The 12,784-nt window shown below is 38.1% G+C and overlaps 1 protein-coding gene and 1 long non-coding RNA gene across 9 annotated transcripts in view; one reads left to right on the forward strand and one right to left on the reverse strand.

Annotated features, from left to right (window-relative positions):
- The window catches only part of TMTC1 (transmembrane O-mannosyltransferase targeting cadherins 1), a 283,947-nt gene that overhangs the window by 7,794 nt on the left and 263,369 nt on the right, over window positions 1–12,784 (reverse strand). For all 8 annotated transcript variants that reach the window (NM_175861.3, XM_047429634.1, XM_017020005.2 and 5 more), the window contains 6 exons: window positions 12,012–12,114; window positions 9,866–10,001; window positions 8,821–8,965; window positions 7,743–7,880; window positions 5,876–5,998; window positions 3,437–3,514 (listed from right to left, as the gene is read on the reverse strand). In NM_175861.3, the coding sequence (NP_787057.2) occupies window positions 3,437–3,514; window positions 5,876–5,998; window positions 7,743–7,880; window positions 8,821–8,965; window positions 9,866–10,001; window positions 12,012–12,114 (723 nt within the window). The remainder of the gene's footprint in view (window positions 1–3,436; window positions 3,515–5,875; window positions 5,999–7,742; window positions 7,881–8,820; window positions 8,966–9,865; window positions 10,002–12,011; window positions 12,115–12,784) is intronic.
- Window positions 11,125–12,784, forward strand: part of LOC105369714 (uncharacterized) — a 36,940-nt gene continuing 35,280 nt past the window's right edge. The window contains exons 1-2 of the long non-coding RNA XR_007063258.1: window positions 11,125–11,214; window positions 12,327–12,457. This is a non-coding gene — a long non-coding RNA (uncharacterized LOC105369714). The remainder of the gene's footprint in view (window positions 11,215–12,326; window positions 12,458–12,784) is intronic.

Here is a 12,784-nt window from a genome sequence, read left to right on the forward strand (position 1 = left end):
TCTGTAGCCCAGGCTGGAGTGCAGTGGTGCAATGTCAGTTCACTGTAACCTCTGCCTCCCGGGTTCAAACAGTTCTCGTGCCTCAGCCTCCCGAGTAGCTGGGACTACAGGCGTGCACCACAACATGCCCGGCTAATTTTTGTATTTTTGTAGTAGACAAAGGGTTTCACCATGTTGGCCAGGCTGTTCTCAAACCCCCGACCTCAGGTGATCTGCCTGCCTCGGAATCCCAAAGGGCTGGGATTACAGGTATGAGCCACCGTGCCCAGCCTAGAAGCCCTATTTTAAAAAATAATTATATCCTTTAAGTCAGTATCTCCAATTCCCTAGATGCTAGGTAAAAAAATCTGAATTATCCAGTTTCCAGAACTGTGTTCACTTGATGGCCACTAGTCACAAGTGGCTTTTCCAATTTAAATTAGTTACAATTAATTAAAAATTCAGTTTCTCAGTTGCACCAGCCATATTTCAAGTGCTCAGTAGCCATGTGTAGCTAGTGGCTACTGCCTCGGACAGGGCAGCTACTGAATATTTCCATTGTCACAAAAGTTCTGCTGGACAGCACCATTCTAGAAAATGCATATTTACTGTCATGAGGCAGTACTGAAAATCAGACTTTGTGCTATAGCCTGGTTGATGCAACTCTTTGATGATAAAAAATGTATTATAATTTCTTGGTCCACTCACTTCATCTTATATGTAAAACTTCATAAGAAGCGTTACTTTTTATAACCAAGTGTCATGAGCAAGAGACAACTATGACATTTGCTCCTCTCTCCCCCATCTCTTTCTGCAACCTCCTTGCAAAGTACTATTCTAACTCTCAACCTTGCTGGAGCTCTCAGGCCTGCCTAAGCTTCCCCCAGGTTTGGGGAAGGAGCGAGGCCTAGGAATGGGTAACAATGCCCGATGCACACATGACCTGGCAATGGAAAAGACACAGAAAGTTCATAATTATCTTTTAGGCTTCATAAGGACAACTCTGCATTCTAATAGTGGCATCAAAATGACCACATCTGAGCCATGTGCCTGTTTATATATTTACATTAGATTGAATCACATAAATTAACTGATATTTGACCACTTTAAAACTGCAAAGGTGGCAATTTTATATTGGTCAGCCTAGTACATGATGTCCACAAAGACAAAAAACAGGATAAACTAATTTTTACTCAGCACTAATTATATTTTAAAATAATGTAGTCAATAGATCCTTCTTTAATCTCTAGACACTTTCCCAAGGGAAGTACTTCCTAATTTAAAGCAATGGGTTCACCTGGTAAAGAGTGCAGTAGACATACTATTTTCTCTATTTCCAGACTTCTTGGACACTTTTGAGTATATTTGTTGTACTTTTTCTAATTAACAACTATACCCATTATTTTAGCTGCAGATATACTCCATCTGAAAACATATTGAGCACATTGCAGTTGTTTGTCACTTAATGACAAAGATACCTTCTGAGAAAGGCGTCATTAGGTGATTTTCCTTTTGGCAAACATCATAGGATATAGCCACATAAACCTAGATGAAATAGTTTACTACTACACACCTAGACTATATGATATAGCCTATGGATTCGAGACCACAAACCTGTACAGCATATTAGTGTACTGAATACTGTAGGCAATGGTAACGCAGTGGTATTTGTGTATCTAGACATACTGAAACACAAAAAAGATGTAGTAAAAACACGGTATTATAATCTTATGAGACCATGAGACATCATCATATATATGATCCATCTTGGACCAAAATGATGTCATGTGGCACATGACTGTATTTGAAAATGTAACTATTTAACATATGATTAAAAATATTTAAAATTATCGTTTTACTCTTTTAAAGTAAGTTCATTCTATGTTTCCCAGCTAGATACTACTGGACACCCTAGAATATCATTAAGATCAGAGCTTGGGCAATTTGGCTCTGAAAAATATCGTGCTTGAATTCACCACCTACCAGATCAAAGCTGTCAGCTGCAGGGTAATTATCCCATTAACCCCTCCCATTTGTGTAATCGTAGGTCATCTTTTTTGTGTGTGTTTCCAAGAGTGATCAGTTTCCACTTAACAGTAAAACCCGTTAGGACTTTGTTCAAATTTTAATCACTACACTGCTATTTTATCAGTGCAGAGACTGAAAATCAGTTAGCTAAGCAAGGGTGGTTCTTTAAAAACATGTTGGATCATGGCATTTCTCTGCTCAAAGTCCTCCAAAAACCCTGACTCATTTGGCATAAAAGCCCAAGTCCCTACAAACTCCTTGAAGGCTGCATGATCTGACCCTGCACCCTCTCTGACCCTAGCTTCTCCCATTTCCTTTTCTTTGCTCTCTCCTTGCCACGCTGCCTCCTCACTTTAAACAACAGGCGTGCTCAAACCTTAGGGCCTCTGCACGTGCTTGTGCTCTTTCCCTATTTCGCCACATGGCTCACTCCTTCAGGTCTCTTCTCAAATACTACTTTGTAACTGAGGCCTTTCCTAACCACCTGAATTTAAAACTTTAGCCCTTATTGCCTGGCATTCCAATCTTCTTTCTCTTTTTTCTCCTTAGCACTTATCACCAGCTAATATATTTTATACATATACATATGCACATATGCATGCATTAAACATTCATGTATGTATGTTTGTATTAATATATCAACTCCTCCTCCTCCTTGTATTAATATATCTCCTCCTCCTCCTCCTTGTATTAATATATCTCCTCCTACTAGCACCATAAGAACAGGAATTTTTGTCTTCTTGGTTCATTACTGTATTCCCAGTGCCTAGCAGGGGATATGACACATAGGATGTTCGCCATAAATGCTTATAAAATGAATGGATGAATGAATAAATGAATGATGGCGAATCGTTCATTGCATTAGTTACAGATAATAGTCCCCCAAAGGTCATTTTCAATCTTTGGGAAGACTCACCCAAAGGTAGTGTTTTTCCTTTGGAAAAACAAAACAAAGCAAAACAAACAAGTTTGCTTTCCAGTAAAAAATTAGGGAGAAAAGGTATATTAGACATAAGAAATAGGAAGTAATATTCTAAGTAACACTTTAATCTTGACAGTGAGTTAAACTGGGAAGAAATTAAGCTATACTGAGCTACTGAGCTTGAACAACGATTTAGTTCCCATAAACAGATTTTACCTGCTGTGGGATACTTCCATTAGGTACATATGATTTTCTTCATGGTTAGAAAAATCATAAAATCTAATTTATACAGATTTATTTTTAAAATAGCTTCAGGATATTCAGTATCTAGATAATGCAAAATGAACATAAACTGAGCTATTTCACTTTTAAACTGCCATACTTTTGATATTCAAATGATTTCAAAAAGGAAATTAACAATAGTTCCTCAATCCTTTAAGAAAGAAGACAGAGAGAGAAAACACAGGGGGAAAGCCCGGTCCACATGGGAGTGAATTATTCTCCTACCTTGATGTGTTGGATGCCACCCATGTTCATCCAGGCCTGTGCTTGGTCTGGGTTTAGTTGCACAGCCACTCTATAGCTCTAAATAAATAAGAAATATCCTCAGGTTAGGAAACAAACCTCCAAACTCCAGGATTGCAGAAACCACTTTCTTCACGTGTGAAAATTTAAAGTAGTAATACAATGAAACCAGCCGCTACTAGTTCACAGGAGACCCTGCTTATTTCTATTATTTTTCAAAGTTGATGATTCTAAAGTGGAGGAAACTGAAATGTATAATTTCCCTGCAGAGCTGACCTTTGGACTTAGAGAGACTGAGGATGCCTGCAGGGAATTCAGGTGATTTCTATTATATCACATCATTTTTAACTGGCCTTGACCTGCAAGAAAATTGTACTTTCTGGCCTTTTTTCACTGCAAATGGAATTGGTAAGAAAATTCTTTTTATAATAACAGAATTTTGGAGTAGTCTTCTGAACAGTTTAACCCTAATGCAGTATCCCCTTTTACAATATAACTGACCTAGTCGTTCAGCCTATGCTGAAATTCTTAAAGTGGATCACCGCCTCTTTAAGAACATCTACTTTACTAGGGGATAGTTTTATTCATTAGACAGTCTTTTTTCCCCTGCCACATGAAAAGTCTTCAAATGTTTAAAGAGAGTTACTTATCCCTCAAGCACTTTCTTTGGTCTGAATAACATGTATCCTATTAAATGTAGTATCAGTGATGTGTGGTATATTTTTAACATTATGCATGTTTTGTATCAAAGGTGTGCTCACCACTGAGTCTCAAGTGGTCACCTGAAATAAAGCCACAGGTTAAGGGTATTGCCTTTAATTACAAAGCTAAGTATTTGTGCACATATTTTAATGTTCCTTGCTATTTTCATTAGCAAGAATATGACCAAACAGGTCCATCAAATAAAATCTGGTCCATTCTCCTCTACTTCAGTTTTAGGGGAAAGAAAGAAATGTTATGAAACTATACCTTCAAAAAGCTGCTAAAATAAACCAAAAGGGTGTGTCTCTTGGATTAATTTATATCAGTGAAGATGGGAATGTAGTGTAGGAGACCTGGATTCAAACCCTGACACCGTCTCTTACCCACTTCTGTGACTTTGAGCAAGATATGACCTTTAAGCCTGAGTTTACAAAACTATAAAATGATGATAATGACCATGCCTTTCTTATAGGATTCTTGTGAAGATTAAGTTACATAATACATATGAATCATGCACAGAGTGATAATACATTTCAGCTGTTATTATGAATCAATGGCCATATATATATATATATACACACACACACATACATATTCACAATTAAGTTATTAATAATGTTCACATTCGTTATAAATAACTTAAGAATGACGATATTGAAAATGTTGAAAAGGCAGAGAAAATCCTACAAATTCTGAGAAAAATGCCACAATTTCTGTTTTTGATTAAAGGATTCACATTCAAATGAGCTTTCCCAAATATCTTTCCATGTGTTTTCCAATAATATTTAAAAATCCACTCACTTATTTCCCAACACAATTGTATCATTTGAGATTTTACTTTTCCTATAATATATTTAGTATAATTTTATGACTTCAATAATTTGTGGCTTTACCAGATATAAGGAGAAAGTATGTAACATTGTAACATTTCTATTTCTACTTATGTCTTCTTGAGTTCAACCTGTGAATAAGTTTTATTCCAAAACCATAGATACTGAACACCTTGTAAGATGCAAAACATTGTTTTAGAACAGAGAAGGATGCAGTCCCTCTCTACAAGGAAAGTCCAATCTAACTGGGGAGATAAACTATGCAAGGATTTGTGCGTGCCTGCACACACAGAGACACACACACACACATACGGGGGTTAGGGGACGGACCTAATAATACAATGTAATATGTGACACTTTCAAACGACTGGTACCTTCATGAGACAGTCCATGCTTTTTAAGAGTTCAGAAGAAGTAAGGTCACAGGGAATAAGGACGGTTAGGGAGGGCTTCCTAAGGCAGGAGGACAAAGACTGTATCTTGGTGGATGAGTGGAAATCTCATCCTCCAAGTCAAGAGAGGGCATTTCAAGGACATGTGGGAATGTCCAAGGCTTTTCAGGTACTAGTCCAGCTGGAATAGAAGGTCTTGCAGGCAGAGACACAGACAGAGAGAAGCTAGTTTGAGGCCAAAATGTGGAATGCTGTCAACATCAAATTAAACATGATTATTCAGAAAAATAAATGCGCAACTCTGATTCAGTCAAGGGCCAGATGCTCAATGATAAAAAATAAACAAAACTTCGTCAATTAGTTAAAAAAAACTCACTCACTCCATAAACATACATGCCAGTGATCTTAGATCTTACTGTACATGTTTCCTTAAAGATCAAAAGACAATTAATTTTAATCTGTGAATTTGATGATATAATTTTATGATGAGTTTATACCTCAAAAGCTTTGTCGAGAAGGTTCTGCTCTCTTAATTGGTTTCCTTTTGTGAAAAAAAGTTCAGAAATGACTTTTGGGTCCTTTGGTTTCAGCTGGAGAGCCTTGTCTATAGCATCAAGTGCCTGCAGAGGTTGGAAATTAAGACAGAATAAATGCAGATTAGGTAAAGAAAAACTTATTTAACTGATCAAATTTATACTTTTTGTTCCTATGTGTCAGCAGGTATGGTATGTGACAATCAAAGTACAATTCTTGGTCAGGCGTAGTGGCTAATGGCTGTAATCCTAGTACTTTGGGAGGTTGAAGTGGGCAGATTGCCCAGTAGCTCGAGATCAGTCTGGGCAACATGGTGAAACCCTGTCTCTACAAAAAAATACAAAAATTAGCCAGGTGTGGTGGTGCACACCTGTAATCCCGGCTACTGGGGGGGCTGAGATGGGAGGATCTCTTGAGCCCTGGGAGGTGGACCTTGTAGTGAGGTGAGATCATGCCACTGCACTCCAGCCTGGGCAACAGAGGAAGACCTTGTCTCAAATATATATACATTCTTCATTATCTTTGATTTTCTCACTGGGAATTAGTGGCCCTGACAAAATAACTTTCTTACACTCCAGTTTTCCCACGTATCGATGAGTGGCAATAAAATATCCTTGATTACTTTACAGGGAGGTGGTGTGATACAGTTGAAAGAAAACAAGATTTGGCATCAGACGTTTTCCCTGACCATGTGTTCATCTGGACCACCCCACCAGCCCCTCTCAGGTCCTAGTGACCATTCTGCCCCCAGCACCCACTGACCCCACTGCAGCCAAAGATCCCTTCAAAGCAAATATCTGATCATGTTCCTCCTCTCCACAAAAACCCAAAGCTTCTCCCATGGTAAGGAACAAAACCCTTGGCCTGGCCCCAAGGAGTCTCCTCCCAGCAGCCTGTGCTTGCGTTCCTACGGTGCTCCTGCTCCCTCACTCCCATTCCTCAGAGAGGCCCCTCACTGCTGCCACAGGGCTTTGCATGTGCGTTTCCCTGCCCAGAATCCTCCTTGCTTCTTCCTCTGCCTAACAACTCTTATTCTTCATCCAGCCCTCACCTCCACATCACTTTACAGGGAGACCTGGCCTCCCAGACTCATCGGGTCCCCTGATTATATGCTCTTTGGGAGAGGTAGCGCTTCATGATATTCCTGGGCACAGCTATCACTCTACATTTGTTTTGTGAGTACCTGTTTAATCTCCTTCTCTATGGGTTAGCTCCATGAAGACAAGGGCAGTGACTTTTTTTTTTTTTTTTCATACCACTTTATTTCTGATGCCTACTACAGTGGCCAGGACATAGTGGGCCTTCAACAATTACTTCATTGAGTCAGTTTATAAATTTACTGATTATGTGACTTTTAAAATGGAGATAATAACAGTTGTGACATTGGGTCACCCTGTGTTTCCTTCTTATATATTGTTTCATGTAATCTTCCTATATATTCCTCTTCTATATTGTTTTATGTAATCCTCATAACAACCCTGTAAAGCATGGTTGTTATGAGGATTACATAAAACAATATATAAGAAGGAAAATACAAAATAATAAAGCATATAAATGTTGGTCTTGATCTTTATAGACTTAGCTGAAAACAAACTAAGACAATACCACATAAAAGCTTTACACCAAAGATAAGCCAAGAAAAATATTATTACAAGGGGACATCTTAGGTGTTAAGGGGATATCTGTGAAAAGTTTCCAAGAGATAGGATATGCTGACGGATAAGATTTAAGATTTCCCAGGCTTATAAACACGCAAACTGGAGAATCACTTAGGTGCACCCCATGTTTAACCTATGAATCCAAAGAACTCTAAACAATGTCCTTCTTTACCTTGTCGTGGTTCTCCTGCTTGCTATAGATGGCTGACAAGAGGCGATAGCATTCAAGGCATCCGGTCTCCTCTGACACAATGTGATTGGTCATCTTTTCAGCTTCTTTTGTCTGACCCATCACGGCCAAAACCTGAGCCTACAAAACCACATGGACCTTGGCTTAGCAGAGACTTCATTACCTTATCAAATAAAGCATCCCTGAATAGAAGCATTCAGAACGCACTCCTGACAAACATGCTCAGCATCAATTTAGTGACTCATAGAGAAGGCTGAATCACCAGTTTTCAGGTTTTGACTTTTTGCTGTTTGTTTCTTTATTTAGTTTTGTGCATGCATTTGTGAGTGAGTGGCAGAAACACTAAATATATCCAGTGAAATGGCTTGTGGCTTTTAAAAAAGGTTGACCAAATAAGTCAGAAGAGAAAGAATTTCCTCTGATTTCATCAGAACAGTGTGTTTACAGCAAGATAACAAATTTGATTTATTGCACATCTAAGGAAAAGGATGAGTGAAGTTCCAAACACTGAAATAAAAATTTTGTTGGTATGAATGTTAATTTTCCTGAGTCTAATAAATACACTGTGGTTATGTTAGAGAATGTCCTTCTTAGAAACTATTTGCAAAGGTATTTAGAGATAAAGGGGAATGATATATACAACTAATTCCCACATGGTTCAGGAAAAAAATAACACACACTAATAATAGGTATATACAAACATACATATCTAAATATGCACACATATACATGTAGGTACATATACATCTACATATGCATACACAATGGAGTGATAAATGAATCAAAATGTTACAAATCATTGGAGCTGGATGAAAGGGTATATGTAAATTTTTTACTATTCTTGCAACACTTTCATAAGTTTGAAGTTATTTCAAAACAAAAATGCAGTATTTTTGGTGTCCATGTCTTTAGAGAATGGCTCTAACATTAGCTGTATGAATATTCATACAGTGGATATATTACGGCATTCCAGCTCCAGTTTTGAGGCGTGAGGACTACAGCTCTCTCTATGGCTGCCTGTGCTTAGGTTGCCAGCTTCATTTTCTTTCATCCTACTCACCAGTGCCAAGCGGAGCTCCCTCTGAGAAGGCTGAAGTGCTGCAGCTTCCTGGTAAATCTGCAAAGCCTCTTCGTATCGGCCAGTGTTGTAATACAGTGCTCCCAAAGGTGACAATATCTCAGCTTTGTGTGCCACCTGCAGGGCGCTGAGTTTGGAGAAAATCTAAATGACATTTCTCTTCTAATAGGTACATTTCCAAATGTCTAGGCTTAGATTTAGGGAAGACGGTCCATGGTTTGAACCTCTGCTCCAATACGGTCTTTGTTTTTATATCAATAACAAGGTTTTTGGCTTTTTCTTTTTTTTTGAGACAGAGTCTCACTCTGTCACCCAGGCTGGAGTGCAGTGGCACAATCTTGGCTCATGCAACCTCCACCTCCCAGGTTCAAGTGATTCTCCTGCCTCAGCCTCCTGAGTAGCAGGGATTACAGGTGCCCGCCATCATGCCCGGCTAATTTTTGTACTTTTAGTAGAGACGAGGTTTCACCATGTTGGCCAAGTTGGTCTTGAACATCTGACCTCAGGTGATTCGACCATCTTGGCCTCCCAAAGTGCTGGGATTACAGGCATGAGCCACCGCACCTGGCCAAGAACAAGGTTTTTACAAAATGATCATGATGCCATAGTTGGAACGTAAGAATGTCTTATTGACCTATCAATATGGAAACTGAGCCCCAAGGGTCTTTCTCATTAATTATGATGAATTTGTTCTCATGTGTGCATAGTTTTTCATGTATCCTCATTTTTTAAATTGCTGTTTATGATTGGGGTTGCAATCCATGGCTTCAGAAAACAACAAACTGACTAAAGTGGGAATTAAATTTCAACCTTGGTTCAGCACTATAGTCTAACCAGCAAGCCAAAGTCATGAATTATGATCCCATTTATATTGTGGTTGCTTTCTTTGGAGATAAAAATTTGTATCACCTGAATTGGCAAAATTTGCTAGTATTCTGAGAGCACACCTATTCTGATTAACTAAGAAGCTGATGAGTGATTGCTGAGGTTCCTGGGCAACTTATAAAGAAAAGAAAGGGAACTTTACCGCTTGTACCATTCTTCAGCCATGCTGTTCTCTCCCAGTGACCTGTAGAGTCTTCCCAAGTTCACCATGGCCACGTGATGACTGGGGCTAAGTTTGATGGCCTGCTGGTAATGGGCCACTGCCTTTTCTGGTAAGCCTGTAACCAGTGACAGGTTGGTAAGAGCAGAACATGCCTTTTTATAAAAGACATGAACATTTCACTTTCTCTTCTGACTTATAATTCTTTCTCATTATTACAGAGTTATACCAAAATTATTCAATATGCAAATTAGCTTGCATTTCAGCTTCTCATCCTGGCCATTGCCTAACTTTGAACAATTTCACTGTTCATTCATACTTCCAAAAAAATTAACAAAAAAGCAGTAAAAACTAAAACCTATTGTTTTAATTATATATATTATTTTAGTCGAAATTTTTCTGGTCATCGCTCTTGCTAATAGGATGCCTTCAGATTATTAGTGATTGTTATTTATCCAAGATATAACTGGCTCTCATTATATAAAAAATAGAACAGGCTACTGTAGAAATAAAACTGTCCAGAAGCAATTTCTAAGGGTCTGTCTCAATGAACTATACTTCAACATAGCAATTGAAGCATTACTTTAAATAACACATATCAGCTCTATAGTGAAAATCTCTTTTAAAATCATGCACTTTCATTTGAATGGCACTTAATTAATAAGACTTACAACATAATAATGCCACCATGCACTTGTCCAATGCATTATATATTTTTAAATACTTACATTTGTATGGTTTTTGCAGGTATTTTTTTATACAATTTAGCTGCCTTTTGATACTGTTTAGCTGTTTATCAGGATTTAAGAGATATTTAAAAAACCACACACAAAAATTTTCCACTTTACAGATATAGACACTAAAGTGCAAAGATATTCAACAGACTTGATAAAGATCCCAAGGCAAGTGAGAGTAAGGCCAGAAGCAGAATGAAGGCCCTCTACTCTGATAGGTTTCTTCAAAGTAGCTTCCTGGTGAAACTATATTCAGTAACTACACTTTAGAACACTGTGAAATTCTAAATAGAATGGAATGTCTATTATCTACACAGAAATCTTTTCAAGCGTATCTGTTTGAATACAAGTTTGACTAGGAGGTCCCTAGGAGCCTCTGTCTCTGGAGGCAGAGGCTCAATGTCATAGGGTGGTCACAGAGTTATCATTTTTAGGGGTGTGGTGGGGTGGGACTGTTGTTGAAGTAAAAGGAGGAGGGTTAGACCTGCCCAACTAGAGGTTTCTTCTAGTTTTTATATTTTTAAGACAGTTTATTATTATGTGGCCAATGAACCAGCAGGTGGCACTACACAACAATTTTACACAGGCAAAAATAAGGTAAGTTTCTTAGATGTATCAGAATGTAAATTTTATATTCTGTAAAACAAGAGAGCTCCAAATATCCTTGAAAATAAAACCCCTTTAAGCATTTCATATTGAAAAACTAATTAAACTAAATTTTGCTGCAGGGCAGCTAGTCTAGTAATCAACAAGAACAAAGTGGTGCTTTGGCCTTACATTTAAATATAATTTCATTACTTACATTGCATGCCAACAGTACAGAGGCACTACATAAGTCATAAAGAAAAGAGAATTCATGCCCAGTAATGTTTTGCATTAAGTAAGATAAAGTAAGTGTATTTTATATAGCACCTGTCATATAAGAGCATTGTATCAATTTTAATAATGCAGTTTCTAATGTACATCAAGGAAGGAATGATGGAACAATTCTGGAGGCTTTTAAAAAATATGTTATAGAAAAGTATTTACCATCTGCCAGTAACTGCTTTCAGAGGCAGGTTTTGCATCATTGTAGAGAAACATTTCATCATCATGGATTTATAAATATATATAAATAATATTCAAAGAAGATTGGGACTTATTAAATCATAAGGCTACTTCCTGTCCCCTGGGGAGTTTTCCATAGAGAAATGAGTATGAGAATGGCCAGATTTTACTGAATCGAGCTTGAAGATCTAGAGAAATGACAGCCCCGAGGTATAATGACTGTCAATAGTGTGAGCTTCCTGCCAAGCCCAGTGAATTTTACTTCTGAGGATTATTTGCCTTCCATTTTGCTTGATAAATTGTATTAGCTAATCTCAGCAGTACAGTTTCTCTTTAATTTCACTTACCAGTATCAACTAAGAAAACCCCATAGTTGTTGTGTAAATCTGAGCTGTCTGGACAGTTCTTTATTCCAGTTTGGTATATTTCTTCAGCTTCTTTAAACCGCTCCTTTAAAAAGAAAGAAACAAACAAAATAAGTGAGAAAGCTTTCTAAAACCAACAATAACTGAATATTAGGAGCAGGAAAAGCAAAAAAAAAATAAATCTTACTAAGCACCTAATATACAACAGGCTACTGAGATAAGGCACTATGAACTTTGTTTGAATTAAAGGCAATATTAACTGTGTACAAAATACCCAAAATTCATATCTGTATTTAGTTCCCTTAGGGCGAAAAAGATGATGTTTTCTCAAATGGGACCTTTGGAAGGATATGGACCTGTACAACATGCACGCCTACCGGGGAAAAAGGACTGAAAATAGTTGTTCGAATAGGATGCCCTTCACCCCGGTGACTCTCCATACGAAAACGGGGGATGCAAAAATGGTGGAATGTTTTCAGAGGTGGCAATGTGGTTGGGAGGCAGGGCAGTCTGGGGAATTTGTTTTCTAGCTGCATTTGGATAGATGACTCTCTTTTTATCTATATACTGTACTGCTTGTTTTGGGAAGTTTTTGAGGGAAGTAGAGAGGGGAGGCAGATGCAGATGTTGGGGAGGGCTCTGCCCTATCCTTTCATTACTTGAAGTATGTCTACAGCCCACCAGACTGGTGGCTACTTCCCATACTCAGTCCATGCTTTCCACCTCTGAGCTGCTCCCTCCAACAGGTTTATATG

This window comes from Homo sapiens, chromosome 12 (genome assembly GCF_000001405.40).
Source record: "Homo sapiens chromosome 12, GRCh38.p14 Primary Assembly".
In the NCBI taxonomy this organism is placed as follows: domain Eukaryota; kingdom Metazoa; phylum Chordata; class Mammalia; order Primates; family Hominidae; genus Homo; species Homo sapiens.